This window comes from Homo sapiens, chromosome 17, assembly GCF_000001405.40.
Source record: "Homo sapiens chromosome 17, GRCh38.p14 Primary Assembly".
Taxonomy (NCBI): domain Eukaryota; kingdom Metazoa; phylum Chordata; class Mammalia; order Primates; family Hominidae; genus Homo; species Homo sapiens.
This window is the reverse complement of record NC_000017.11, coordinates 16143934-16170710: the sequence shown is the minus strand read 5'-3', so window position 1 is coordinate 16170710 and position 26777 is coordinate 16143934. Positions and strand designations below refer to the sequence as shown.

At 38.4% G+C, this 26777-nt stretch overlaps 1 protein-coding gene and 1 non-coding gene across 54 annotated transcripts in view, besides 1 other annotated feature; both read left to right on the top strand.

Moving 5' to 3' along the window:
• NCOR1 (nuclear receptor corepressor 1) overlaps nt 1-26777 on the top strand; it is a 186378-nt gene that overhangs the window by 44824 nt on the left and 114777 nt on the right. For 38 of the 53 annotated variants that reach the window (XM_047437140.1, XM_047437134.1, XM_047437132.1 and 35 more), the window contains 7 exons: nt 5550-5732; nt 11838-11951; nt 17316-17372; nt 18713-18765; nt 19095-19121; nt 21194-21260; nt 24163-24335. In XM_047437140.1, the coding sequence (XP_047293096.1) occupies nt 5550-5732; nt 11838-11951; nt 17316-17372; nt 18713-18765; nt 19095-19121; nt 21194-21260; nt 24163-24335 (674 nt within the window). The remainder of the gene's footprint in view (nt 1-5549; nt 5733-11837; nt 11952-17315; nt 17373-18712; nt 18766-19094; nt 19122-21193; nt 21261-24162; nt 24336-26777) is intronic. The other 15 variants (NM_006311.4, XM_011524086.4, NM_001439115.1 and 12 more) reach the window with 1 other exon arrangement.
• SNORD163 (small nucleolar RNA, C/D box 163) lies at nt 17515-17578 on the top strand. Its single transcript, NR_145787.1, has one exon. It is a non-coding gene; the product is annotated as a small nucleolar RNA, C/D box 163 (small nucleolar RNA).
• Nucleotides 25360-25868: an enhancer, noted in NCBI's record as "H3K27ac-H3K4me1 hESC enhancer chr17:16048157-16048665 (GRCh37/hg19 assembly coordinates)". NCBI's record gives its function as "activates a minimal SCP1, AML or CMV promoter by ChIP-STARR-seq in naive H9 embryonic stem cells {active_cell/tissue: H9 hESC(naive)}" and the evidence as "EXISTENCE:reporter gene assay evidence [ECO:0000049][PMID:30033119]".

The following is a 26777-nucleotide window of genomic DNA, read 5'->3' as shown; positions in this document are numbered from 1 at the left end:
GGGACGCACCACCATGCCCAGCTAATTTTTGTATTTTTAGTAGAGACAGGGTTTCACCGTGTTGGCCAGGCTGGTCTCTTGAACTCCTGACCTCGTGATCTGCCCACCTCGGCCTCCCAAAGTGCTGGGATTACAGGCATGAGCCACTGTGCCGGGCCTATGTTTACCTTTTTCAACTCTGCTTTGCTTATTATTAATTCTGCAGATTAGGAAGTGCCTGACACTTAGTAGATACAGAATAAATATTTGTCATAGAAAGAATAAATTAATTTTAAAAACTCTTAACAGTAAAGTGTTAACCTTTTTACCAACATACGCTAATATTTTTCCCAGTGTCTTTTTGTTTCAGTTTTTCTTTTTTTAAAGCATACTGAAGTTTAAAATGTTTTTACTGCCATCAAATCTTTTTTCTGTGTTTATTAACCTTTATGCCTAATTGCCCTTTCTTCCCTGATACCAGATAAATAAGTACCCACACATTTTCTTTGAGTTTTATGCAATGAAGAGTAATTTAAAAGATAGTAAATGTATCTACAATTTATTTTCAAATAGTTCAGCCAAAATGAAGTTATACACACACACACACACACACACACACACACAGAAAGCAAATATGTTAAAATGTTAACTACTGGTGAATCTAGATGAAGGATAAATGAGTGTCCATTATATTGTTCCTTCAACTTTTAAGTAAATTTGAAATTTTTCAAAATAGTAAGTTGGATGGGGAAAAATTCTTTGCCGTAAGCTAGAAATTAGCTAAGCTTCTAGGTGTTTTGTGACCCACCTTATCATGTGAATCATCTTTATCATACAGTAGTCTGTGGGGTTTATAAGAAATGTTCTGCTGCATTAAAAAAAAGAAATTTAAAAATATAGTGAATAAAGGTCATCTTCCATGGCTGAATACATTACCACAAATGTAATTTGTAACTATAGAATTTTGTTTTTTAGCAGAAAAGTGTCTTAAAAACTCATTCATTAAAATGGGACGTGTTGTGTTGTAGTGTGACCCATTTCCATGTTATAGTTGAGAAACTGGGTGTTCAGAAAAATTAAGTGACCTAGGTTAGTAACTCCTGAGTTGAAATTAACCCAGGACCCCGACTCTAGTCCTGCTTTTTTTCCCCTAAAGTGTAAACCATGACTACTTCTACTAACTAATACTTCTCCTTCCATCTCCCTCTCCCCATTCTCTCCCAACTGCCCACCTCCAGAAGTAAGGATTTAAAAAGAACTAACATTTGTTAGATTTTTTGTTAAATGTTAAGCCTAGGTATATCATTTATAGAAGAGTTAAATAAGCTTGAAAGAAAAAATTACCTACAGTTTACCATTTAAAAGTTATTAACATTTTCATGTTGATTCTTCCCTATTTGTATGTGTATTATTTTAATTTTAATTTTATTTAATTTTATGGGTTTTTTGTTGTTGTTGTTGTTTTTTTGCTGCTCCTTGTGGAACAGGGCTAACCCATAAGGCAGTGTGTCCAGAGTCAGCCCGTATGAATATTTTAATGTGCCCCCTTTGTACATTCTGTTTAACTTACTTTTGCTTAAATACGTGCTTAGCTTCTTTTTGTGCCAATAGGTTTACAACTGTATTGTTAGTGGCTACTTAGTATTCCACATATGCATAAATAAAGTTCATTGATTAAATAAAATTATTTAATCAATTGTCATACATTTAGGTTACCTGTTTGTTCAGAAGTACGGTGTTGTGACATGCATTGTTTTTTTTTTTTTTTGAGACGGAGTCTCACTTTGTTGCCCAGGCTGGAGTGCAGTGGTGTGATCTTGGCTCACTGCAACCTATACCTCCCAGCAATTCTCCTGCCTCAGCCTCCCGAGTAGCTGGGACTACAGGCGCACGCCACCAAGTTCAGCTAATTTTTGTATTTTTAGTGGAGACGAGGTTTCACCATGTTGGCCAGGCTGGTCTCGAACTCCTGACCTCAGGTGATCTGCCCGCTTTGGCCTCCCAATATGCTGGGATTATAGGCGTGAGCCACTGCAGCTGGCCCATACATTATTTAGGTTGATTTTTTTGTATACATTCTTACTTATTTCCTTAAGGTAGATTTCTTTTAGTATAATTAATTGTAGACCAGGTTGATTTTTAAGGTACGGTGGGTATTTCCAGATTGTCCTGCAAAAGAGTAGGGCCAGTTCTTAACTCCTGACAGCAGTGTATAAAGGTACCCACTTCTTGGCTGGGCGCGGTGGCTCACGCCTGTAATCCCAGCACTTTGGGAGGCCGAGGCGGGCGGATCACCAGAGGTCAGGAGTTCGAGACCAACCTGCCCAGCATGGTGAAACCCCATCTCTACTAAAAATACAAAAATTATCTGGACGTGGTGGCAGGCGCCTGTAATCCCAGCTACTCGGGAGGCTGAGGCAAGAGAATCGCTTGAACCTGGGAGGCGGTGGTTGCAGTGAGCTGAGATTGTGCCATTGCACTCCAGCCTGGGGGACAAGAGTGAGACTTCATCTCAAAAAATAAAAATAAATAAAGGTATCCACTTCTTTTTTATCCTTGCTGACACCACATGTCTATTGTTTAACAAAAAGATTGTTAATTTGATGAATGATTGTTTTTAACTTACACTTATTATTTGTTAGTAAAACTTAACTTTTTTTATTTGTTTATTGGTTATTTTTCCTGTTTTGTAAATTGTTTTTTCGTATATGTTGTCCATTTTTCTGTTGGTTTATTTTACATTGAGTTGTTAGAGTGCATGTTTTGCAAATGGTTTTCCTATTTAATCGTTTGCCTTTTTAATTTGTTATTACTGTTTTGATAAGCAGAAGATTGTGTTTTTGTGTGTGTGGTTTTTTTTTTTTTTTTTTTTGAGATGGAGTCTTCTTCTATCACCCAGGTTGGAGTGCAGTGGTGCCATCTATGCTCACTGCAACCTCCGCCTCCCGGGTTCAAGCCATTCTCCTGCCTCAGCCTCCCAAGTAGCTGGGATTACAGGCTCGCACCACCACACCTGGCTGATTTTTGTAGTTTTAGTAGAGATGGGGTTTTACCATGTTGGCCAGGCTGGTCTCGAACTCCTGACCTCTAGTGATCTGCCCGCCTCGGCCTCCCAAAGTGCTGGGATTACAGGTGTGAGCCATCGTGCCCAGTGGAAGATAGTTTTTTATTTTATCCATCAATCTTTCTTTTTTAAAAACTAATGTCTTTTATATCTTTTGCTTTTGGCCTTCCTGAACCCAAGATAATGTGAATCCTTTATTATTATTTTTTTTTAACTTGAGGCTTTTTGTGATTTGCTAATAAGCCTCTTATAAATGTTTGCTATTACTTGGCTTTTTTTTTTGATGTAAGATATGAGGTAAGAATCTAATTCTTTTTCTTCAGGATTGGTATCTGGCTGTTTCAAGCCAAGATTGTAAGGTTCATGAAGGCAGATATCTTGTCTGTTTTGATCTTATTCCTGTTATGTAAGTAGGCACTTGAGGATGTGGTTTCTTGTTAAATATTTAATATTTAGAAAGGAAGTCAGTGGAAAATATTCATTTGTAATATTAATTCTTTGGGCATGCATCAGAATCACCTGAGGAGCACTTTTGAAGTCTGCTGAATCAAAATATAATCTCTTTTGCTATTATATATGTTTCTGTAACACAAATTTGCTCATATGCATATAGTGGGAGAATGATATTAATGTATCATGAAAGTCCTGGTGGTTCACCAAAGATCTTTCTTTATGCGTTAACATTTCTAAGTTCTCAGGAGTACGCTGTCTCATAATGAAAGAGAAAGGCTTCACAACACATGAAGACTTAAAAATATGTAAACATTCTGCATTTAGTTTTCATTTAGTGCGAGTAGTAGCTGGTTTAGTGAATTTAAGAACTGTTGTGCTTTTCACAGTGTTAGTGAAGATTCGAGCATTGAAAAGACAATGTGAAGACAAATTTTCTTGTATTTTTTTTTTTAATGTTGATAAAGGAGGGAGGGGGAGAAAAAAAGGTTGATAAAGATGGTTATACACCAAATCTGATTTTTTTTTCTTTTTTTTTGAGATGGAGTCTTGCTCTGTCACCCATGCTGGAATGCAGTAGTGCAATCTCAGCTCACTGCAACCTCTGCCTCCTGGGTTCAAGCCATTTTCCTGCCTCAGCCTCCCGAGTAACTGGGACTACAGGTGCCCGCCACCACGCCCAGCTAATTTTTGTATTTTTTAGTAGAGACGGGGTTTCACCATGTTGGTTAGGCTGGTCTGGAACTCCTGACCTTGTGATCTGCCTGCGTCAGCATCCCAAAGTACTGGGATTACAGGCATGAGCCACTGTGCCTGGCCACTGATATTTTATTTAGATGAAACATACTGGTTTATTTTGGAAGCCAATGACCTCAAGGATTTACATCTTAAGAGAGGAATCATAAACTCTAGGGCTTAAAGCTGCCAAAGATTGACTGTATGCCAGATGCAAAGGATACTGGAGCTTTAATTCTATTAAGTCTATTAGAGTTGTTATTGCTTTTATTGGTGTTTTCCTTACAGAATTGTACAGGTTTTAGGGTATAGCCATAATCTTATTTTCCCAGAAGGCCTCTTAGATTCAGCGCATACTATTAGAGAATATGAGGCTTTTCATCAGTGTATATTAGCTGAAATATCTGTACTAAGGTGTTTTGAAGCAACTGTCCAGTTATCTCTTGTATGCATTCTTGACTCAGAACTATTGACTTTTCACAGTTCCTTAATCATTATTTAATACATTTTAGGGTTCTGTAATCCTGTGAACTACCCTCATTGTAGGTTTCTCATAGTCTAAGTAAAATTAGTACTCTAAAATTTATCTGTTTTATAATATTGCTTATGTCTTTACAGCAGACTGGAAATTAATAGGGTGTGTGTGGATGTGTGTTGGAGGGTAGTGGATTTTGGGTGAAGCGGCTTTCATTCTGCTACAGCTCTGCTGATTTGGAGGCACAATGGGATGTTTTTGGCTAAGGAAATGTTATGTATGCTGTAGTGTGGGCTTTATGAAAGTAGGCCTAGAGATAGTAGCAACTGAAGTTCCTAGGTCACTTCTCTGACTTGTGTACCTCAGTTTTGGTTTGGAAAGCCTAAAAACTTTTGATAGGAACACTTGGCCATGTTATAGTTGTTAAGTTGGGTGGACACACAGGTTTTACCTGGAATAATACTATTTCCCAGCCAGTTGTTCAGACCATTTGAAGAGCCGTTGCAAGGAAATGGCTGAGAAGTTGGTATCTTCCTTTGTCATGATTGCATTATTTACCTATAAATTCTCTATAATTTCAGTATTGTTATACTAGAGGCTGATCAACACTAACTCACCTCACTTTGTATAGCTTTTAGGGTCTTCAAAATAGTACATGGTATATCTAAACTATAAAAGTGAGGTGAGAATTTGCATGTATGTGAATATGAAAGTTACTACTAAAAGTTTCATTAGACAAATAGTACACATGGCTCTGCTGTGGTTTAAAACTGACTTTTTCATTTAAGGCAATCTGGACTCTATTAGTGAGAAATAAATTGTTTTTCTTGGTTTTATTCTCTAAAGGATCCAGCATTCGGAGGCAAACATGAAGCTCCATCCTCTCCAATTTCGGGGCAACCATGTGGAGATGATCAAAATGCTTCACCTTCAAAACTCTCAAAGGAAGAGTTAATACAGAGTATGGATCGTGTAGATCGAGAAATTGCAAAAGTAGAACAGCAGATCCTTAAACTGAAAAAGAAACAAGTAAATGTCTTTGCTTAATATATTCTAAGAATGTATGTTTGTCTCCCTACAGTAGATATTTTTGAGTTTTCCATATTTTGAAACTTTACATAAAAGGAATCATGCCTTATATATTCGGACTTGCTGTTTTTTTGCTACTGTTGTGGTTTTCTTACATTCATTCATTTTCCTTGCTGCACTGTCTGATTATATGATTGTAGAGAGTGAAATTTGTTTGTCCATTCTATTTTTGATTTTTTTTTTTCTATTCCATACAATGGTGCTGGTTTTTGGTTCACATGTAGAGATTTTCTAGGGCATGTGCCCAGGAATGGCAGTGCTTGGCCCAAGATTATGTACAGTGAACTATTTAATAGATGATACTAAATTTGCTAAGAAGTAACACCATTTTACATTCCTACTGGCAGCTTATGTGAGTACCGGTTTGTGCACATTTTTGCCTTTGCTTGATATCGTTTTTTCAGTTGGATATGAAATAGTCTTCTCTGTGGTTTGGAAGGAGGCTGAGCTTATTTTCATTTGTTTATGGGTTATTTGGGTTCCTTATGTGCATTGTTCAAGCGTTTTGTCTATAGTCTCCTATTTTGTCATTGAAATTTTTAGGATTTCCTGAAGTCCCTTGTCAGATATGTGTATAGAAGATTTGCCTAGTTTTTGGCCTGTCACTTCACTTTTAGCCCAGTATTCACTCTAAGTGTAGACTAAGTGCATTTTAGTGCATTTTTTTTTTTTTTTCCAGATTTGGAGTCTCACTCTGTCACCGAGGCTGGAGTGCAGTGGTGCGATCTTGGCTCACTGCAACCTCTGTCTCCCAGGTTCAAGTGATTCTCCTGCAACAGCCTCCCGAGTAGCTGGGACTATAGGCACTTTAAGTGCTTTTAATGTATTCATAAAGTTGTACAGCTATCACCACTCTCTAATTCTAGAACATTTTTATCATTTCAAAAAGAAACTCCATACCTACTAGCAGTTACTCCCCATTTCCCCTTTTCCCCAACCCCTGGCAGCCACTAGTCTATTCTCTGTCTCTATGGACTAGCATGTGCCAAATATCAGAAAAAACAGAATCATATGTGACCTTTTGTGTTTGGCTTCATTTATTTAGCATGTTGTCCTGATTCATCCATGTCGTATCTTGTGTCAGCACTTCATTACTTTATATGCCTGAATCCCATTGTGTGAGTTTACTATGTTTTGTTTATCCATTCATTAGTTGATGGATATTTGAGTTGTGTTCATTTTTTGACTATGATTAGTGATGTATTGTGATGAGATTCATGTACTCGTTTTTGTGTGGTCGTATTTTTACAATTTTCTTTATATATCTAGGAGTGGGCATATGGTAAATCTATGTTTAAATTTTTGAAAAACTTCAAAACTGTTTTCCAAAGTCTCTGTACCATTTTATATTCTTACCAGCAGTATATGGAGGTTCCATTTTTTCCTACCTCCTTGCCAACATCTGTTATTTTCCTTTTTTAAAAAAATATAGCCATCCTTGGAGATGTGAAGTGGTATCTAGTTGTAGTTTTCATTTGCATATCCTTAATGACTAATGATGTTGAGCATCTTTTCATGTGCTGATTGGCCATTTGTATATCTTTTTAGATAAATGTTCATTTAGATTGTTTGCTCATTATTTAATTCGGTTGTCTTTTTGTTATTCTAAGAATTCTTTATATATTCTGGACATTAGTTCCTCATCAGATGTATGACTTAATAGATATTTTCTCTCATTCTGTGGGTTCTTTTCACTTTCCTGGTAGTATCCTTTGATGTATAAAAGTTTTGAATTTTGTTGAAGTCCAGTTTGTTTTTTCCTTTTGTCACTCTTACATTTGGTGTTTTATCTAAGACCCATTGCCTAATTCGCGGTCACAGATTTATACCTGTGTTTTCTTCTACACATTTTATAGTTTTACCTCTTATATTTGAGTCTTTGATCCTGATAGTATTTTTTTTGGTGAACAGAATTTGTTTAGGTTTTATATGAAAACCCCCTGGGGTTATTAAGGTAGTTTTACTATATTATTTTTTAGAAGTTTTATAGTTTTGCTTCTCATCTTATTCTTAATCCACTGGAAACTACATGTTGTATAGTCAGTGTTCATTTATGTTTACCCACATATTTGTCTTCTTATGTGCTCACCATTTCTTCTCGCAACTCAAGTCTTCCATCGAAGGGAACACCCTTCTACTGAAGAACATCTCTTAGAATTTCCTTTAGTGAAGGTCTCTTAGTTGGCAAATTCAGTATTTGTTTGGTTTTTATGACTTAAATATTGTCTTATATTTGGCCTGTTTATTAAAAGATATATTTATTAATTTGGTATGTGATTATTTTTTCTTAGTACATTGTCTTCTTGCTTCCATTTTTAAGACATTAGCTCTTGGTCTAAATCCGTATTCTTTCATGGATAGTGTGAATTTTCTCTCAGGTTGTTTTCAGTATATTCTTTTCTTCGGGGTTCTGTTATTTTTATGATGATACATTTAGGTGTTTTTTTTTTTTCCTTTTAAATCTGTCCAACCTGATATTCCTGAATATGAAGGGTGGAGTTTTTCATCACTTTGGGAAAATTCCAAGCCATTATCTTTTTTAGAAAACCTTTCTAACAGTTTCTTGTTCTACTTATGAAATTCCTGTTAGTTGTAACATCTTATCACTCTTGTCTTCCGTGTCTCTTGTTTCTCTTTCTTATTTTTAACTTCTTTGGGCTTCATTCTGAGCAATTTCTTCAGCCTGTCTTCCAGTTTACATTTTCCTTTTCAATTATATGTAATCTGCTGTCAAATCTGTCTTCAATTTCAACAACTATGTTTTTATTGCTGGAATTTCTGTTTGGCTCCTTCTCAAATCTGCCTGGTCATTAAAAAAAATTTTTTTTTTGCTTTCATTGAGTTGTATTAAATTTTTATTATATGCCCAACAATTCTAATTAAGTCTTTACTGGTTTGATTTCGCTGAGTCTCTTTTCTTTTCTTTCTTTTGTCTTTTATTTTCTTTACTTGTACAATGGTAATAATCTAGTAATAACACCAACTAAATCACATGATTGTTTTATGAATTGAGATAATGAATATATTGCATAATATCTGGTACATAGTAAATGTACATGCAATCCACTATAATAATTAGAAATAATGAAATATAATGTATGATTATTATGAAATGTACCAGAGCCACACATTTTATTGAGAGATATAAAAGACAACTAGAGAAAACAAAGAAATATGCCATAGCTGGATGGAAACAGTGATAATAATGTTCTGTGTTCATCTTGGACTAAATCATGTCTCACACAATTTCAATAAAATTTCAATTAAATTTATTTTTAAAACATGGCAAATACATTGTAAAGTTAATGTAAAAGAACAAACAGGGCCAGGCTCGGTGGCTCAACCTGTAATCCCAGCACTTTGGGAGGCCGAGGCAGGCCAGATCACCTGAGGTCAGGAGTTCCAGACCAGCCTGGCCAACATGGCAAAACCCCACCTCTACTAAAAATACAAAAAATTAGCTGAGTGTGGTGGCGGGTGCCTGTAATCCCAGCTACTCTACTTGGGAGACTGAGGTAGGAGAATCACCTGAACCCGGGAGGCAGAGGTTGCAGTGAGCTGAGATTGTGCCACTGCACTCCAGCCTGGGCAAAAAGAGTGAGACTCCATCTCAAAAACAAAAACAAAAACAAAAACAGGTGAGGGAGTGTGTGTGTGTGTGTGTGTGTGTGTGTGTGTGTGTGTGTGTCTGTGTGTGTTTGCTTTTAGCCTTTGAATTATAATGGTTTTGTCCCAGGGCTATTTGGGTACTAAGAACAAAGTGTGATTTGTTTATTCCTTAACAAGGATTCTAAAAGAAGGCCCTCTAAGCAGGAAAGAAAGGGAATCATTGAAGAACCCTTTACCATAAAAATGATCTCAGAATTTCAAATATCTTTCTTTTGCTTGTACAGATAACAGACTGCAAGAGTACTTATAATTCCAAAGTGGAAGTGTTCCTTACAGTTTAGACTCTCCTGGTGGCTATTTATTATTATTTTTTTAAATTTTTTTCGAATTGGGCAGCCTCCTGAGCCAGAATAGGTTCAGAAACTCCCTCTTGGTAGATTTTTATGCTTTCATTTGGGCATGGTCTGATTTACAGTACTGGGAGCTTTGACTGTCACTCTTATTTATTTAGTTTTTTTGAGATGGAGTCTCCCCCTGTCGCCCAGGCTGGAGTGCAATGGTGCGATCTTGGCTCACTGCAACCTCCACCTCCTGGGTTCAAGCGATTCTTCTGCCTCGGCCTCCTGAGTAGCTGGGGTTACAGGCTTGCGCCACTACACCGAGCTAATTTTTTGTATCTTTAATAAAGCAGGAATTTCACCATGTTGGCTAGGCTGGTCTTGAACTCCTGGGCTCAAGTGATCTACCGTCTTGGCCTCCCAAAGTGCTGGGATTACAGGTGTGAGCCATTGCACCCGGCCTATCAGTCTTATTTAGTAGTATAGATAATTTTTGCCTATAGACTATACTAGACTTAACCTTAATTTGTCTTTACCTAATTTTTCTTTTATCATCTTAGGTAGTGGACTTATGCTAAATTTATTCGTGTGGATATTTTTAAAGCATTAACTAGGTGTCAGGCACTGGTTTAGGTGTTGAAAAAAAGCAGCGGACAAAGCAGACAAGTCCCTGCTTGCTTCACTAGTAATACTCGGTAATATTTACAATTTATAATTGTAATATGCTTTATATATACGTTAAGTCATTTAGTCCTTTCAAAAAGCTGTATGATAGGTAGTATTATTATCCCTACCTTATTTATGAGTAGTTTAGGTGTTTGCTTAATATTGAGTTAAGGGAGCCAGGCGTGGTGGCTCACAGCGGTAATCCCGGCACTTTGAGAGGCCAAGGCAGGTGGATCACCTGAGGTCAGGAGTTCGAGACCAGCCTGACCAACATGGTGAATCCCTGTCTCTACTAAAAAAATACAGAAATTAGCCGGGCATGGTGGTGGCCGCCTGTAATCCCAGCTACTCAGGAGGCTGAGGCAGGAGAATCGCTTGAACCCTGGAAGCGGAGGTTGCAGTGAGCGCCATTGCACTCCAGCCTTGGTGACAGAGCAAGACTCCATCTCAAAAAAAAAAAAAAAGATTGACCTAAGGACCCAGAAAGGTTCCTAGGATCACACCACCTGTAAAGGGTGACCCTGAGGCTCAAACCCAGGCACGGTAATACAGTTAGCTTTTTCTTTATACTTGCACACACCAATAGTCTATATTTTTGTAATTTTGTTGATTGCCCTTTGACCGGAGCACTGTAACACATGAAGATTGGGTGTTGAGGGTGGCATGGTGCCATGCTGAGTTAAGGGTTAACCCTTGATCTCCTTTCTACCATATTCTGCCCAGCAAATATTAATGTATACTGTGTATCTATAACATATAAGAGTGTTTTTTCAGTGCTGTCAAAGGTCATTGTGATAGAGGTATGTAGAGTACCTTCATTAAATTTAACTTCTCTTATTATTTTGCTTTAAGTTTGTCAGAATTAAAATCTTTTTTTTTTTTTTTTTTTTTTGAGATAGAGTTTTGCTCTTGTTGCCCAGGCTGGAGTGCAGTGGCGTTATCTCGACTCACTGCAACCTCCACCTCCCGGGTTCAAGTGATTCTCCTGCCTCAGCCTTCTTAGTAGCTGGGATTACAGGCATGCGCCACCATGCCCAGCTAATTTTGTATTTTTAGTAGAGATGGGGTTTCTCCATGTTAGTCAGGCTGGTCTCGAACTCCCGACCTCAGGTGATCCACCTGCCTAGGCCTCCCAAAGTGCTGGGATTACAGGCATGAGCCACTGCACCCGGCCCAGAATTAAAATCTTAAAGGATGCTTCCTCTTAGTTTTTTTTTTTAAACTCTATCTAATGAAAATTTGTGTTGTTTGGTTATGAAATAAATCTGATTAATTCTCTTTGAGCTCTTGGTCCATGAGACCTTCATGGATTAATTGGTTACCCTACAGAATCTGCAAGCAAAGCTTAGTAGCCTGTGTTATCTCCAGTGGTTAATCACTGCTGGGTGTGGTGTGCAGCACATGCTTGACTCTTTCTTTCTGGATCTCTTAGCAACAGCTTGAAGAAGAGGCAGCTAAACCTCCTGAGCCTGAGAAGCCCGTGTCCCCTCCTCCTGTGGAGCAGAAACACCGCAGTATTGTCCAAATTATTTATGATGAGAATCGGGTAAGCTCATACCATCTCTGGCAGCACAGGCCTTTAACCCCACTTGACGATGCCCTTTTCAGTTTTGAATGTATCCTGGTATAATTTTAACTTTATTAAAACCTGATTTCTCTTACAATTTTGAATGTTCATAAACTTTGGCTGACTGAAGCTTGGTGTTTTTTTCCTTATCAATTGAAAGAAAGTTTACAGTTGTGCCTTAAATTATGTAATATTTCATTTTACATTATGTATTTTATAAATATTTAATCAGTGAAATTTTGTCAGCTGAGTCTCCTATTATATGAATTCTGGCAAGGAAGCTTGGTAGCATATAATACAAAACAACCATCCTGCAGTTTTTCACTTAATAAATGATGTTTAATGCTGACTACTGATAACATTTCAGTAAAGATAGGTCATTGCATGTGGAAATGAACTTTCTTATCAGCATTAGTTCACAGTCGATAGTTGGGCTATGGTTTGAACTTCAGTTAAAAAGTTCAAGGCGGGGCATGGTGGCTCATGCCCATAATCCCAGTACTTTGGGAGGCCGAGGCGGGTAGATCACTTGAGGTCAGGAGTTCGAGACCAGCCTGGCCAACATGGAGAAACCCTGTCTCTACTAAAAATGCAAAAATTAGCCAGGCGTGGTGGCGCATGCCTGTAGTCCCAGCTACTCGAGAGGCTGAGGCAGGAGAATCGGTTGAACCTGGGAGGTAGAGGTTGTAGTGAGCCGAGATTGAGCCACTTCAGTCCAGTCTAGACAACAGACCAAAACTCAAGTCTCAAAAAAAAAAAAAATCAAAGTTCAAGGTAGATTTTGACCTTTAGGTAGACTTTGCTTTTTTAGGTTTACTCTCATACTCTTAATTAAAAATATTCATGGATTCAGAAACACCAGGCATGAATTCTATGAATCATTTTTGTAGTATCAAAGTTAGTTTTGGCCAGAATATGGCCCAGGAACTAGCAGTTAGAGGGAAACTGATTTTACCTCAACATGAAGAAAGTGTCTGTTTAACAGTGGGCTTCCAGAAGTCCACAGTGCAAAAAATGATAATATGCTTTATACTGTGGGATAGAATAGGGTTTTTAGCTAAAGGCATGATCATCAGGTAAAATTTGGGATTGTTGTTTTGATTGATTTGATTTGTAGTGAGTGGATTCATCTGTCAGTCTATCTTACACATACAGTCTGTAACTTTATAGTAGTCCACAGCCGAAAGGAAATTGACCTTAAATAAAGCAATTGTGAATTAATAAATATTTATGCACATGTACTCCTGAATTTAAAAGTTGAATAAATAAATAAATAAATACACATTTATAGGAATGATCTTGGATTTAGATATACATGTATCAAGTAGATAACTGAGAGTCATCAGAAATATACTTACGGTAATGGTAAGTGTTATGGGCAGGTAAAAATATGGGCAATTAATATTATTTTCTTGGCTGGGTTCAATATTAGTCCAATTTATTGTATGGCCACAGCAGTCTACATGAAGATAAATCCAGTAAAGGAAGGGAAGGAGGTGACCATGCCTAAGATGGGGGCTGTGTTCCAGGATATACAGTTGCTCCCTTGTTTAAGAAAAGCCCAAAATAATGGGGTTTTATGTGAAATCTCTGATTTGTTTTTTTAAAAAAAAAAAGTCCTCTGCATAGCTGCAAAACACTTTTGTGGGCTCATGGGCTCCATGGCCAGTTTGTGACTGTGACCTCAGGGATAAAATAAATAGGAATTAGTGGTGATACAAATGGAGATTTGATAGTTTTTTTTTTTAAGTTTTATAAAATGTTTCTTTTTTAGTATGAATTATTTTTCAAATAAATTGGATTTGGTAATAATTATTAATGGATTTATTAATGAGCCTTGTCTTACAATATTAGTGAATTCTGTGGTTGCCTCACTGGGATTTGAGGACTGAATACTATTGAACAAGATCTGATCTAATAGAGAATTTAATTGGTGTTTAATTTTTATATATAGATGTTTTTATTAATTAGTATAGTGTTTCTTGGTGCACATTAGCAAAACTTGAAAACTCCTTTTGCACCTCTTCTTTCTGTTTGAACATTTCCATATTTGGTTTGTTGTTTATTTTATGAAGAAAACCAAATCTGAAACCTGTTTCAGTGTTAAACTTGCCTTCCTACACTGAAGATTGTTTCTAACCCACAACAACTATAGAAGTCATCTTTCTTTTCCTTTTTTCTTTTTTCTTTCATTTTTCTTCTCCACCCTCTCCTTTCTTTTCTCCCCCTCCTCCTCCCTCTCCTTTCCTTCTTTTCTTTTCTTTTTTTTTTCGCTTTCCTTCTTTTCTTTTCTTTTTTTTTTCGAGACAGAGTTTTGCTTCGTCCCCGAGGTTGGAGTGCTGTGGCGCAATCTCAGCTCACTGCAACCTCCACCTCCCAGGTTCAAGCAATTCTCCTGCCTCAGCCTCCCAAGTAACTGGGATTACAGGTGTGAGCCACCACAGTCAGCTAATTTTTGTATTTTTAGTAGAGATGGGGTTTTACCGTGTTGGCCAGGCTGGTCTTGAACTCCTGGGCTCAAGTCATCTACCCATCTTGGCCTCCCAAAGTGTTGGGATTACAGGCGTCAGCCACTGCACCAGGCCTCTTTTCTTTTATTCCTTCTTTTCTTTCTAACAGACAGTGTCTCATTATGTTGCCCAGGTCTTGAACTGCTGGCTTCAGGCGATCCTCCTGCCTCAGTCTCCCAAAGTATTGAGATTACACGTGTGAGCCCCCATGCCTGGCCTCATCTTTTCTTTCTTATGTATGTTTTATACATGTACCTGTGCAGTTTCAGAATTGTAACAGGGAGCTCCCGGAGGGGAGGAGGAGAGCACAATGGGCCTAGAACCCAGGCTTTCTGATATGTACTCCCCAAGGCTTTTTCTGCCCCAGTATGCTGCCTTTTGAAAGGCCCTCCCTGCCTCTTTTAACATTTTTTAATGAATGAGCTTATCTGTTTCAGCACCATAGGCAAGGAGGAATGGGGTAATTACAGAAGTACACCTCCCTCTTATTTCTTGGGTGGCAGCAGTTACACTAGTTGGAATTAAGCCAAGTGTGGCTTAAGAGATCGAGGGACCATTTCTTTTATTTAGAAAGGTAGTGGGAGGAAAAAAACTGCCCCAACGTGTTAATTTTAAAGTTGACTTCCTGAGAAAAGTTGACTTGCATCATAGTTAAATTTCAGTCTAAGTTTGTTTAGTCTCTAAACAGACTATTTTTAACAGTTCAATTTGATTTTACCCTATCAGTTGTAAGTTCCAAAAATATTTGTAAATATTCTAATTTCAGAAGAATAATACGTATAGAAAAGTGATTATTGTTGGGCTCTACTAGAGAAATTTGCAGAATATCTTTGTGGGTGTGTGTGTGTGTGTGTGTGTATTTTTTTTTTTTTTTTTTTGAGACACAGTCTTGTTCTGTTGCCCAGGCTGGAGTGCAGTGGCACGATCTTGGCTCACTGCAACCTCCACCTCCCGGGTTCAAGTGATTCTCCCGCCTCAGCCTCCCAAGTAGCTGGGATTATAGGCACATGCCACCATGCCTGGCTAATTTTTGCATTTTTAGTAGAGATGGGGTTTCACCATGTTAGCAGGCTGGTCTTGAACTCCTGGACTCAAGTGATCCACCTACCTAGGCCTCCCAAAGTGTTGATATTACAGGCGTGAGCCACCATGACCTGCCTTGTTTATATTTTGACGGGTTGATTTGCAAGAGAATGTGACTTCAGAAGAAAGAAAAGGGTGATGGTAGGAAGTATATTCTGTGCCAGCACCTCTGGTCATCTAGGCCAGCATCCTAGGAATTATCCAGTTCTCTCTCTTTGCCACTTCATGTATGTTGAGGTAATCAGTGAAGAGCGTTAGTCCCACCTCCTAAATATTGGTCTGGTCTTACGCTTCTTTCCTCTACCTTTATCATTAGCTTAATTTGAGCCTTCATCTCCCACATAGTTATTGAGTCTCACGCTTCAGTCCTTTCTTTCTAACCCATCTTTCATATTTTCGTCCCATTTAATGATTCTCCAAATAGAACCTTTTTATGATTTCCCACTTTATACAGAATAGCCGAAGCCTTTATTGATGTTTACATGCTTACCCGCCTGGCCCTTGCCCCATACTCTTTTCTTAGTAATATCCCACCAGAAGAGGTTTTGGATGTTCCCTTGTTAGCAATATCTTTACCCCGCTATGTTGCCCCTGCTGTCAGGTGGCCCCGTGTTTTGTCTTTTCTGCCAAGCACACTGTTACCTCAAGCCCCAGTTCAAGTATCATTTTCTCTAGGAAGACTTTCAAGACCCCTCATCTTCCTGTGGTGGGAAGGCTTATCTTATTCATTATTTTCTTAGTGTCTAGTGAGTGCTTGGCACATAGAACATACCGAACATATGTTGAAGAATTATTTACTTCTATCTGTAGACTTAGAATACAAATTGTATTACGAACATATGAGGGTCTTAAGTTAAAATTTTTGTTGCCAAAATATTGATAGATTAATCTTAGCAAGGGAAGATTTTTGCTAGGTAACACTTTGGTCTGGATTATTTTACTTTTGAAAATAGCAACTGGGTGCTGTGGCTCACACCTGTAATCCCAGAGCTTTGGGAGACTGAGATGGGGGCATTATTTGAGTCCAGGAAGTTGAGGCTGCAGTGAGCTATGATCGTGCCATTGTGTCCCAGCCTGGGCGACAGAGTGAGACCCTGTCTCAAATAAAAAAAAAAAAAAAAAAAAAAAAAGGAAATAGCATATTACAAATACATATAATTCAGCATTTTTTAACTACTGAGCACTTTGAATAATTCAAATTAGCGGTTTTCTTTGTTGTTCAGCTATTACTAAGGATTCCTTGTAACTAGAAAATTAGCTCATTAACAGCTTTTCTTCAAAGAGATCAATGTTGCTCACCATAGTAAAGAGTGGCCATTTTATGGTATTTTATTGCTTTAAGTTTCTATTAAAGATGATATGAGTTAAAGTATGTAGAATGTTTGGGGGATTTATTTCTAATAGTGAATTTTCATTCCCTCTCTCCAGTTTTTTAATATAATTGTTTGCTTTTTTAAAACTTACCTATTATTCAGGCATTGCTTTCAATACAAATGTTAAGTTTTGACTGAATTTGGTGAGGAAAGCTATGACAATACAATTTCAGAGTTTTCTATCATTGTAACTACAAATTAAGAAAAAATAAAAAATAACTGGAGCATATTTCAGCCTGTCATATAGAAGAAGGATATTTGGAAATAAGGATAAGTTCATCTATAGATTAGTCTTAGATAAATATTTCTAAATAATTATTTTGCACTTAGATAATGTAATTTTTAATTATATGATACAACAATGTCTTTATCTCTAGAAAAAAGCAGAAGAAGCTCATAAAATTTTTGAAGGTCTTGGCCCAAAAGTTGAACTGGTAAGTAAATTTTTTCATTTCCAGTGATTTTTTTTTTTAATTTTTGGTGGTAGTTTTTCTTGGGATAAGATGGAATATGATCCATTTATTTTGGGATAAGAGAGATGTAGCTGAGCAGAGATGTAGCTTGAGATGAAGTTTAAAGTAATGATGAGTGAACTTGGTTACCTTTGCAGACCTTTGCAGAAACATCACCCTGAGCTTGTTTTTGCTTGAGCAGCTATTTAATCCTTCCAGGCAGAATGAGAATTAAGAACAGAATTAGAAAGCTCTTTGAATGTTACTGTTAAAATAGTGACAATGGTTAATACTCCCTAGTATTAGGGAGTATTAATACTTTGAAATTAAAAATCTGTGCATAAATATACTTATGGGAAACAATGGATTTATAAACTGTATTATGGGAGTGACAGGAGATGGGATTAACAGTTACTCAGGGAATCTAAAAGTTAGGAGGTTTTGCCACAATGAGATACCATCTCATACCAGTTAGAATGGCAATCATTAAAAAGTCAGGAAACAACAGGTGCTGGAGAGGATGTGGAGAAATAGGAATGCTTTTACACTGTTGGTGGGAGTGTAAACTAGTTCAACCATTGTGGAAGACAGTGTGGCAATTCCTCAAGGATCTAGAACTAGAAATACCATTTGACCCAGCGATCCCATTACTGGATATATACCCAAATGATTATAAATCATGCTACTGTAAAGACACATGCACACGTATGTTTGTTGCGGCACTATTCACAATAGCAAAGACTGGGAACCAACCCAAATGTCCATCAATGATAGACTGGATTAAGAAAATGTGGCACATATACACCATGGAATACTATGCAGCCATAAAAAAGGATGAGTTCATGTCCTTTGTAGGGACATGGATGAAGCTGGAAACCATCATTCTGAGCAAACTGTCGCAAGGACAGAAAACCAAACACTGCATGTTCCCACTCATAGATGGGAATTGAACAATGAGAACACTTGGACACAGGGCGGGGAACATCACACACCGGGGCCTGTCAGGGGGTGGGGCATGGGGGAGGGATAGCATTAGGAGAAATACGTAATGTAAGTGATGAGTTAATTGGTGCAGCAAACCAACACAGCACATGTATACATATGTAACAAACCTGCACGTTGTGCACGTGTACCCTAGAACTTAAAGTATAATTTAAAAAAATAAGTAAATAAAAAAATAAAAGTTTGGAGGTTTTGGTAGGGCATGTTATTGTGTAGATCCATTAGTACTTTACCTGTGCTTACATTAAAATTATGTTTCTTTGTCTCTTCATAGACATATGTACAACATTTTATACATAAATATTTGATTTCTTTTATAGCCACTGTATAACCAGCCATCAGATACCAAGGTGTACCATGAGAACATCAAGACGTAAGTATTGATCATCTTTGGAGTTCTTCAATTAAAGACCGTATATTCTATAAAGAGATCATTTTTGTTATCTGCTGACATTATTATAATATATTGTAGGTATGTTTTAGATTTGTGTAATTTGCTGTCGTTTTATTATATGTTATCTTCCTCTGGCTTCTTGGGGGTTGGGGTAACAGCTTTGAGTTTCCGAGGCCAAAAAATGAAATAAATTATTGCATAAAACTAGCTGGTTTTATAATCTGCTAGTAAAAAAGGTGGATACTTAACATTGAAATGGCTTACCTTGAGGCTTGAATTTTTTGCCTCCTGTTTTGTCTTTTTTTCAGTGGAGTACCTGCAAGGCGCATGATGAAGTAAGATAATGAAGCTTTTTCATTTAAGACTAGTGATGACACCGTCCCCCACCAAGCCACATCTGCCATTGCAAAGTAGAAGTGCCACGGATCATTTTATCATTATTCAAAATCCTATTCTAGGGAAATCCCTTCCATGACTCTTGCTAATGACGGTATTTGTAGACCCTTCTGCCATTTAATGTCCTGGTGCCTTGGAAGCGCTCAGTCACCTTGTGGGTGACGAGGCTGCTCCAGAATGTAGTTTGCTTAGCCTTGCTCATCCTAGTACCAGGCCTTTATGGATGCAGATTTTGGAATAAGAAAATAAGTGAAAAGAAAATCTAATTTCTTGATCTGATTGAAGTAAGAGAGGAAGCTAGATAGATATCTTTTTTTTAAAAAAAAAATTATACTTTAAGAGAATTTTAGGTGCATTATTCTTAGTTTGTGACAAAAATGTGATATTTCTACTTTATATGTTTTATTAAGTATAAGCAGAACATAATTATTTACTAGTATGGTTACTAATGAGCACATTGCTATTTATTTTATATATATATATTTATTTTTTTCTTTTTAAAAATTTCTTAACTGAGAGTATGTGCAATTATTGACTACTTTGCAGAACTGGTGGCAAATATAATTTGCATGGTAGTATGCATGAAAACAATTGAATTTGAATAATTTTAACTTTTGTTAAGTAAGTGGTTCATAATAAAAGTTATGTATTTGTCAATTTTTCTGTGAGATGCTACTATGATCTTGAGAACCCTTAGAAGTAAGTTAGTCAAAACTCACATATAATATACCTTGCTTTGGAACTGCTTAGCTGTTTTAACATTTTTAAAGAGTAGAAGAGCAGATAAGATCTAGTTGGCTACTTAATGACTTTTTTTTTTTTTTCCCACAAAGCCTCAGTGTTATGTTTGTGTTGTGTCCTGTTTCTCCTGATACAGTCTGGAGAGCAGCTCTGTCCGATTTATTTCATGTCATCTACATTGCCTATTTAGTGCTCAGCACACTATCCTAGATGGACTACTGACTGGCTGACTTCATTTAAATTCCTAGGAAACATTTAAGATTGTATTTGTTGATTGTCATTTGCTTTTGAGTAACGTATACTTAAAATTATAGCAAACTGAGTATATGGTAATGCTTCCCTGTACGACACCTTTTGGAATATTTCCTCAGCTGCATGCATCTGTATGAGTCATTCAGTAGCTATTCTTTCATCACCGTCATTTGCTTTGTATGAAATAGCAAATGTACATTTTAATAATTCTTTTCATCTCTTGGCTACTTTTTCATATAGCCAGCTCCTGCTTGTCCATACTTATTTGAGTGGAGCCAGTGTCACTGTTAGTCCTGAGTGGCAGATAATCCAAAAAATTACTTCTACTTGCCTTGGCTTTGTATTTATATTTGAATAATCAGCTTGAAATCCTTTCTGGAAGTAGGTGGGGTATAAATATTTATACTTGAACCTGCATGTCATTGTTTTTGAAGGTCACAATGCTTCCAATTTAAAAAGCGATTAAGATATATTAGAAATCTTCCTGTTTTGACACATTGCCCTCCATTACTTCTTAGAGTGGATTGTGTCATTCTGTGACTGAAGAAAATCTTCTGTTTAAAGCAGAAGTCACCTATCTCTACATATGTTGGTATACATTTTCCTCGTAGAAGGGAGGTTAGCACCTGATGTAGGGAGGTAACTGTAAAAATGTTTCCTTCTCTTCTACCTCCCTTCTCCAAAGAGTAAGATGTTTATGTCACCAGAGTTGTTAAGAAGGATAAGTAACTGTAATTTTAATTTGAAAATATTTGCCTTATAATTGGATGTGCTAATTGAAAGTTAACTATTTTGTATTAAGTCTTACTGTAGAATGGGAGGAACTTTAGTCAGTTCTAATTTTTGCAAAAGTTATAAAATCTTATTTTGCAGGGTAAAAAAATTAGGATTAACTTTGTTTACATCATAAATTCTTAAGTGATCTTTGCCTATTTTCCAGTGTCTCTGGAAAAAAAGTGAATGCATTATTAAATTGTGCTTTTTCTTAATGTCATGCAACCATATTTTTCTCTTCTAGAAACCAGGTGATGAGGAAAAAACTCATTTTATTTTTTAAAAGAAGAAATCATGCAAGAAAACAAAGGGTGAGGTCCTATCCTTGTTAACTGAAATTTATACAGCTTTCCCATTCATGCTCATTTAGGCATTCACTTTCCTACTGTTAATGAGAGTGGTCCTTGACTCCATTTGAGGATAAGTGCTGATTTAGAAAGTAACCATATATATATATATATATATATATGACTTAAATCTAATTCTAGTAACATTTTGATACCATACCTTACATTTAATATTATCAAATTAATTTCATTGGTCATCTTTCTAGAACATTTTCATTTAGTCAAAATAAAACGGTGAGTAGTTTAAAAGAATATGAAAGATAATTTAGTTTCTTAAGCCTCAAACAGTTGTAGGTAAGTTGCAGTCATGCTGATGAGACATTACTATTCTTTCTTTTATTAGAAACGGGGTCAGCTAGGGTTCAGCTTTTTCAAATTCAAATGGTTTTCCATATTTTTTTATGACTTGCAGTCCAAAAGTTTTGTGGTTATATAATTTTCATGGGAATTAAATTATAGAAAATATAATGCCAGTGATTTTATTTTCATAATATGTTTATACTAATTTTACAGATACACTGTTAATACATTTAAACTGAAGTGTCTGCTAAATAAATGCTACTCTTTAAATCGACATCAAAAATGAACTTTGTGCCTAAAGTTAATGACCTGACAGTTTGAGTTGTAAAGCTCAAGAGTCAGCAGCTTTATTTGGTGGAAAACGTCTAATGTTCTAATTTGCCAGTCTGATCAGATACTGTCTTAAATTACTGGTCTTGAGTTGTTTTTTTTTTTTTTTTTTTTTTTTTTTGCCAAGAACATATAAATATCAAGTAAGAAATTAGCTCATGTATTTTTTTTTCCTTTCCAAGTAATTTTGTTGTAATTCTGGTACTCACTAAATAAGTTCACTGGTGATGCAAACACTGTAAGGTTTGTATTTTCACCGATTTGCTTAAATATCACTTGGCTGTGTACTCTGTCCCATATATTATTCTGCAAAGGTGAGCAAGATAGCCATATGGTTTTAGTAATTAGGGGGAGCCTAAGGTGATGGAAGTCAGACAGGTCAGTCCTAGTATTGGATCACACCGTGGTCATGGACTACGGATGACTGAGGAGGACACCTAAGGCAGATAGGAATTATGAGGGGACATTTCAGGGGAAAACCAATTCTCTGCAAACTTGTATACGCAGAGGGAGTGGCTTAAGTGAAGGTCTGGGAGCCAGAGGGAGTGTAGACTGAGCTGGCAGTGTGGTGAGAAATGAGGCTGCTGAGGGAAGCCAGAGCCAGGTTGTATACTGTCCTGGAGGTTGCATAATGTTTGGGTTTGCATTTTAAGAGTTTGCATTTAGCGGGGCAGGTGCAATGGCTCACGCCTGTAATCCCAGCACTTTGGAAGGCCAAGGAGGGCAGATCACTTGAGGTCGGGAGTTTGAGACCCGCCTGACCAACATGGAGAAACTCCGTCTCTGCTAAAAATACAAAATTAGCCAGGCGTGGTGGCGCATGCTTGTAAACTCAGCTACTCAGGAGGCTGAGGCAGGAGAATAACTTGAACCCGGGAGGCGGAGGTTGCAGTGAGCGAGATCGCGCCACTGCACTCCAGCCTGGGCAACAAGAGTGAAACTTGGTTCCAAAAAAAAAAGAATTTGCATTTAGCTACAACATTAAGAATGCATGGGAGCTATTGTTTTGATCTAGGTGAGGGATGGTGTTGGCCTGGATTATAAGGGTAGCAGTAGAAAGGAGAAAAGATGAAGGACACAGAAGACATATAGGAGTAATTGAGAAGTGGGAGTGGGGTGTGGTGTGGAATGTGAGAAAGATAATATTCTGTTCTCCAATGCCACTTTCTTAAGATGACCATGTTAGCAGTTTTTCATGAACCCTTCCTCACTTTCCTCTGTCCATGTGTCATCAGATATGTTGACAGTTCTTTGTCCATAATGGAGGGTTCGTCTGTCTTTTCTTCTCTATTTAGAAAATGGTATCATAATTCACTTACTTCTCTAAAAGCATTAATTCTCAATTTCACGTAGTTCACTGGATTTCTGTTTTTTGTTTTGTTTTGTTTTTGTCTGTTGCCCAGGTTGGAGTGCAGTGGTGCGATCTCGGCTCACTGCAACCTCCACCTCCTGGGTTCAAGCGATTCTCCCGCCTCAGCCTCCCAAGTAGCTGGGACTACAGGTGCCCACCACCACGCCTGGCTAATTTTTGTATTTTTAATAGAGACGGGGTTTCACCATATTGGCCAGGCTGGTCTCAAACTCCTGACCTTGTGATCCACCTGCCTTGGCCTCCCAAAGTGCTGGGATTACAAGTGTGAGTCACTGCGCCCAGCCTGGATTTCTTTTTATGATAAAGCACAACCAACCATTTTCTGCCTTTTTCATACTGTCAAAATGTTTGTTATATAGCATTATTTATTATAGCAAAAAATGGCAATCAACCAGAACCTCCAATAATAGATCGGTTAAAGCGTGTGTGTTTTGTTTCGCAGATTGGAAGGATAACAACAAAATGTTCATATGGTTGCCTTTGGGTAATTGGTCAGATTATGAACTATTTACATGTTTGTATTTTTAATTTTCCATTTTTTTGGGACAACAATGACATAATGTTTTAAGCAAAATAAAAGTAACTGGTCAGCTACTACTAGTAGTAGGTGTCAAGTAGTTTATAAATATGCATAGTCTTAATGTTAACTAAAAAATCCAGCCAACCTGTGCTCTATGTGTTGATCTTAGTAGGAAACAGAGCTACCTTTCCTCTCTCCTCTTTGTGCTTTTCGTTCACAGTTGAGTCATAAGCCAAATGTACTTCTGACTTAACCTTAAGAAGTAGCATTTATTTTAAAGTATTAGGTTTGTCAGAATCAGAGTTTAGTTTAATTATTATTAATTTGCTACGGATATTTAATAGGAACAAAAAATCTGCCAGCGTTATGATCAGCTCATGGAGGCATGGGAGAAAAAAGTGGACAGAATAGAAAATAATCCTCGGAGGAAAGCTAAAGAAAGCAAAACAAGGGAATACTATGAAAAGCAGTTTCCAGAAATTCGAAAACAAAGAGAACAGCAAGAAAGATTTCAGCGGTGAGTAGTTTGATGTTTAATGACTGTGATATTTTTCTTCAAATATTTATTGTTTCTTTTTTTTAAAAATTTTTTTAGTATGTATTGATCATTCTTGGGTGTTTCTCGGAGAGGGGGATTTGGCAGGGTCATAGGACAATAGTGGAGGGAAGGTCAGCAGATAAACATGTGAACAAAGGTCTCTGGTTTTCCTAGGCAGAGGACCCTGCGGCCTTCTGCAGTGTTTGTGTCCCTGGGTACTTGAGATTAGGGAGTGGTGATGACTCTTAACGAGCATGCTGCCTTCAAGCATCTGTTTAAGAAAGCACATCTTGCACTGCCCTTAATCCATTTAACCCTTAATGGACCCAGCACATGTTTCAGAGAGCACGGGGTTGGGGGTAAGGTTATAGATTAACAGCATCCCAAGGCAGAAGAATTTTTCTTAGTACAGAACAAAATGGAGTCTCCCATGTCCACCTCCCTCCACACGGACACAGTAACAATCTGATCTCCCTCTACTCTCGCCACATTTCCCCCCCTCTCTAGTCGACAAAACCGCCATCGTCATCCTGGCCGGCTCTCAATGAGCTGTTGGGCACACCTCCCAGACGGGGCAGCGGCCAGGTGGAGGCGCCCCACCCCCCGGATGGGGCGGCTGACTGGGCAGGGGCTGCCCCCCACCTCCCGGACTGGGCGGCTGGCTGGGCGGGGGCTGCCCCCCACCTCCCGGAAGGGGCGGAGACGCTCCTCACTTCCCAGACGGGGCGGCTGCCGGGCAGAGGGGCTCCTCACGTCTCAGACTGGGCAGCCGGGCAGAGACGCTCATCACCTCCCAGACAGGGTGGCGGCGGGGCAGAGACGCTCCTCAGTTCCCAGACGGGGTCGTGGCCGGGCAGAGGCGCTCCTCACATCCCAGACGGGGCGGTGGGGCCGAGGCACTCCCCACATCCCAGACGATGGGCGGCCGGGCAGAGACGCTCCTCACTTCCCAGACTGGGCGGCCAGGCAGAGGCACTCCCCACATCCCAGACGATGGGCGTCCAGGCAGAGACGCTCCTCACTTCCCAGATGGGGTGGTGGCCGGGCAGAGGCTGCAATCTCGGCACTTTGGGAGGCCAAGGCAGGCGGCTGGGAGGTGGAGGTTGTAGCAAGCCTAGATCACGCCACTGCACTGCAGCCTGGGCAACATTGAGCACTGAGTGAGCGAGACTCCGTCTGCAATCCTGGCACTTTGGGAGGCCAAGGTGGGCAGATCACTCGCGGTCAGGAGCTGGAGACCAGCCCGTCCAACACGGCGAAACCCCGTCTCCACCAAAAAATACAAAAACCAGTCAGGCGTGGTGGCGTGCACCTGCAATCCCAGGCACGAGGCAGGAGAATCAGGCAGGGAGGTTGCAGCAAGCGGAGATCATGGCAGTACAGTCCAGCTTCCGCAACAGAGGGAGACGGTGGAAAGCGGGAGAAGGAGAGAGGGAGAGGGAGAGGGGAGACCGTGGAAAGCGGGAGAAGGGGAGAGGGAGGAGATCATGGTGGTACAGTCCAGCTTCGGCAACAGAGGGAGACCGTGGAAAGCGGGAGAAGGAGAGAGGTAGAGGGGAGACCGTGGAAAGCGGGAGGAGAGGGAGAGGGAGATCGTGGAAAGCGGGAGAAGCGGAGAGGGAGAGGAGAGAGAGGGAGAGGGAGAGCTATTGTTTCTTGAAACTGATCATGAAGAAAGTTTATAAAGAATTTTTATGTTGTGGACACATAGGGGGAACAACACATACTGGGGCCTATTAGAAGGTGGAGGGTGGAGGATGGAAGGAGGGAGAGGGTTCAGGAAAAATAGCTAGTGGGTACTAGGTTTAATAGCAGAGTGATGAAATAATCTGTACGACAAATCCCCATGACACAGGTTTACCTATATAACAAACTTGCACATGTACCCACTAACTTAAAAGTTAAAAGAACTTTTATGTTGAAAAGAAAACTTTATTATCAACCAGTAAACATTATGTCTTAGTAAATTTAATTTTTATATTATCCTGTTGAATCTAAATGTAAGTGATTATTTTGAAATTAATTCTGAAGTTCCTAAAAGTATTACATCCTTTGGACATGACAGTGAGTAAGAACAGACCTAAATATCCTTTAGTCCTTCGTTACCAACATATTCAAACTATATTCAGCTGATGGCCAATTAAGAAATTCTTTGATAGATTCTGATTTGTTTTACTTTTAGCAAACAGATATTTTACAAAGATTTTAAAAGCTTTAATTTTCTTTTTTATTGTCTCATGTAAGAGTCATGTAAGCCCCTTAACTCACAATTAAATTTTTGTAAGGGATGTTGGTTGAGTTTTTTCTCTCCTTTTAAAAATGTTTCATGTATTTTTCTAAGTCTACTACAGGGCATACAAAGAATGCCATTTGAAATGGAATTGGCATCAATAATTATGACTTTCTAGAAGTTTTCCCTAA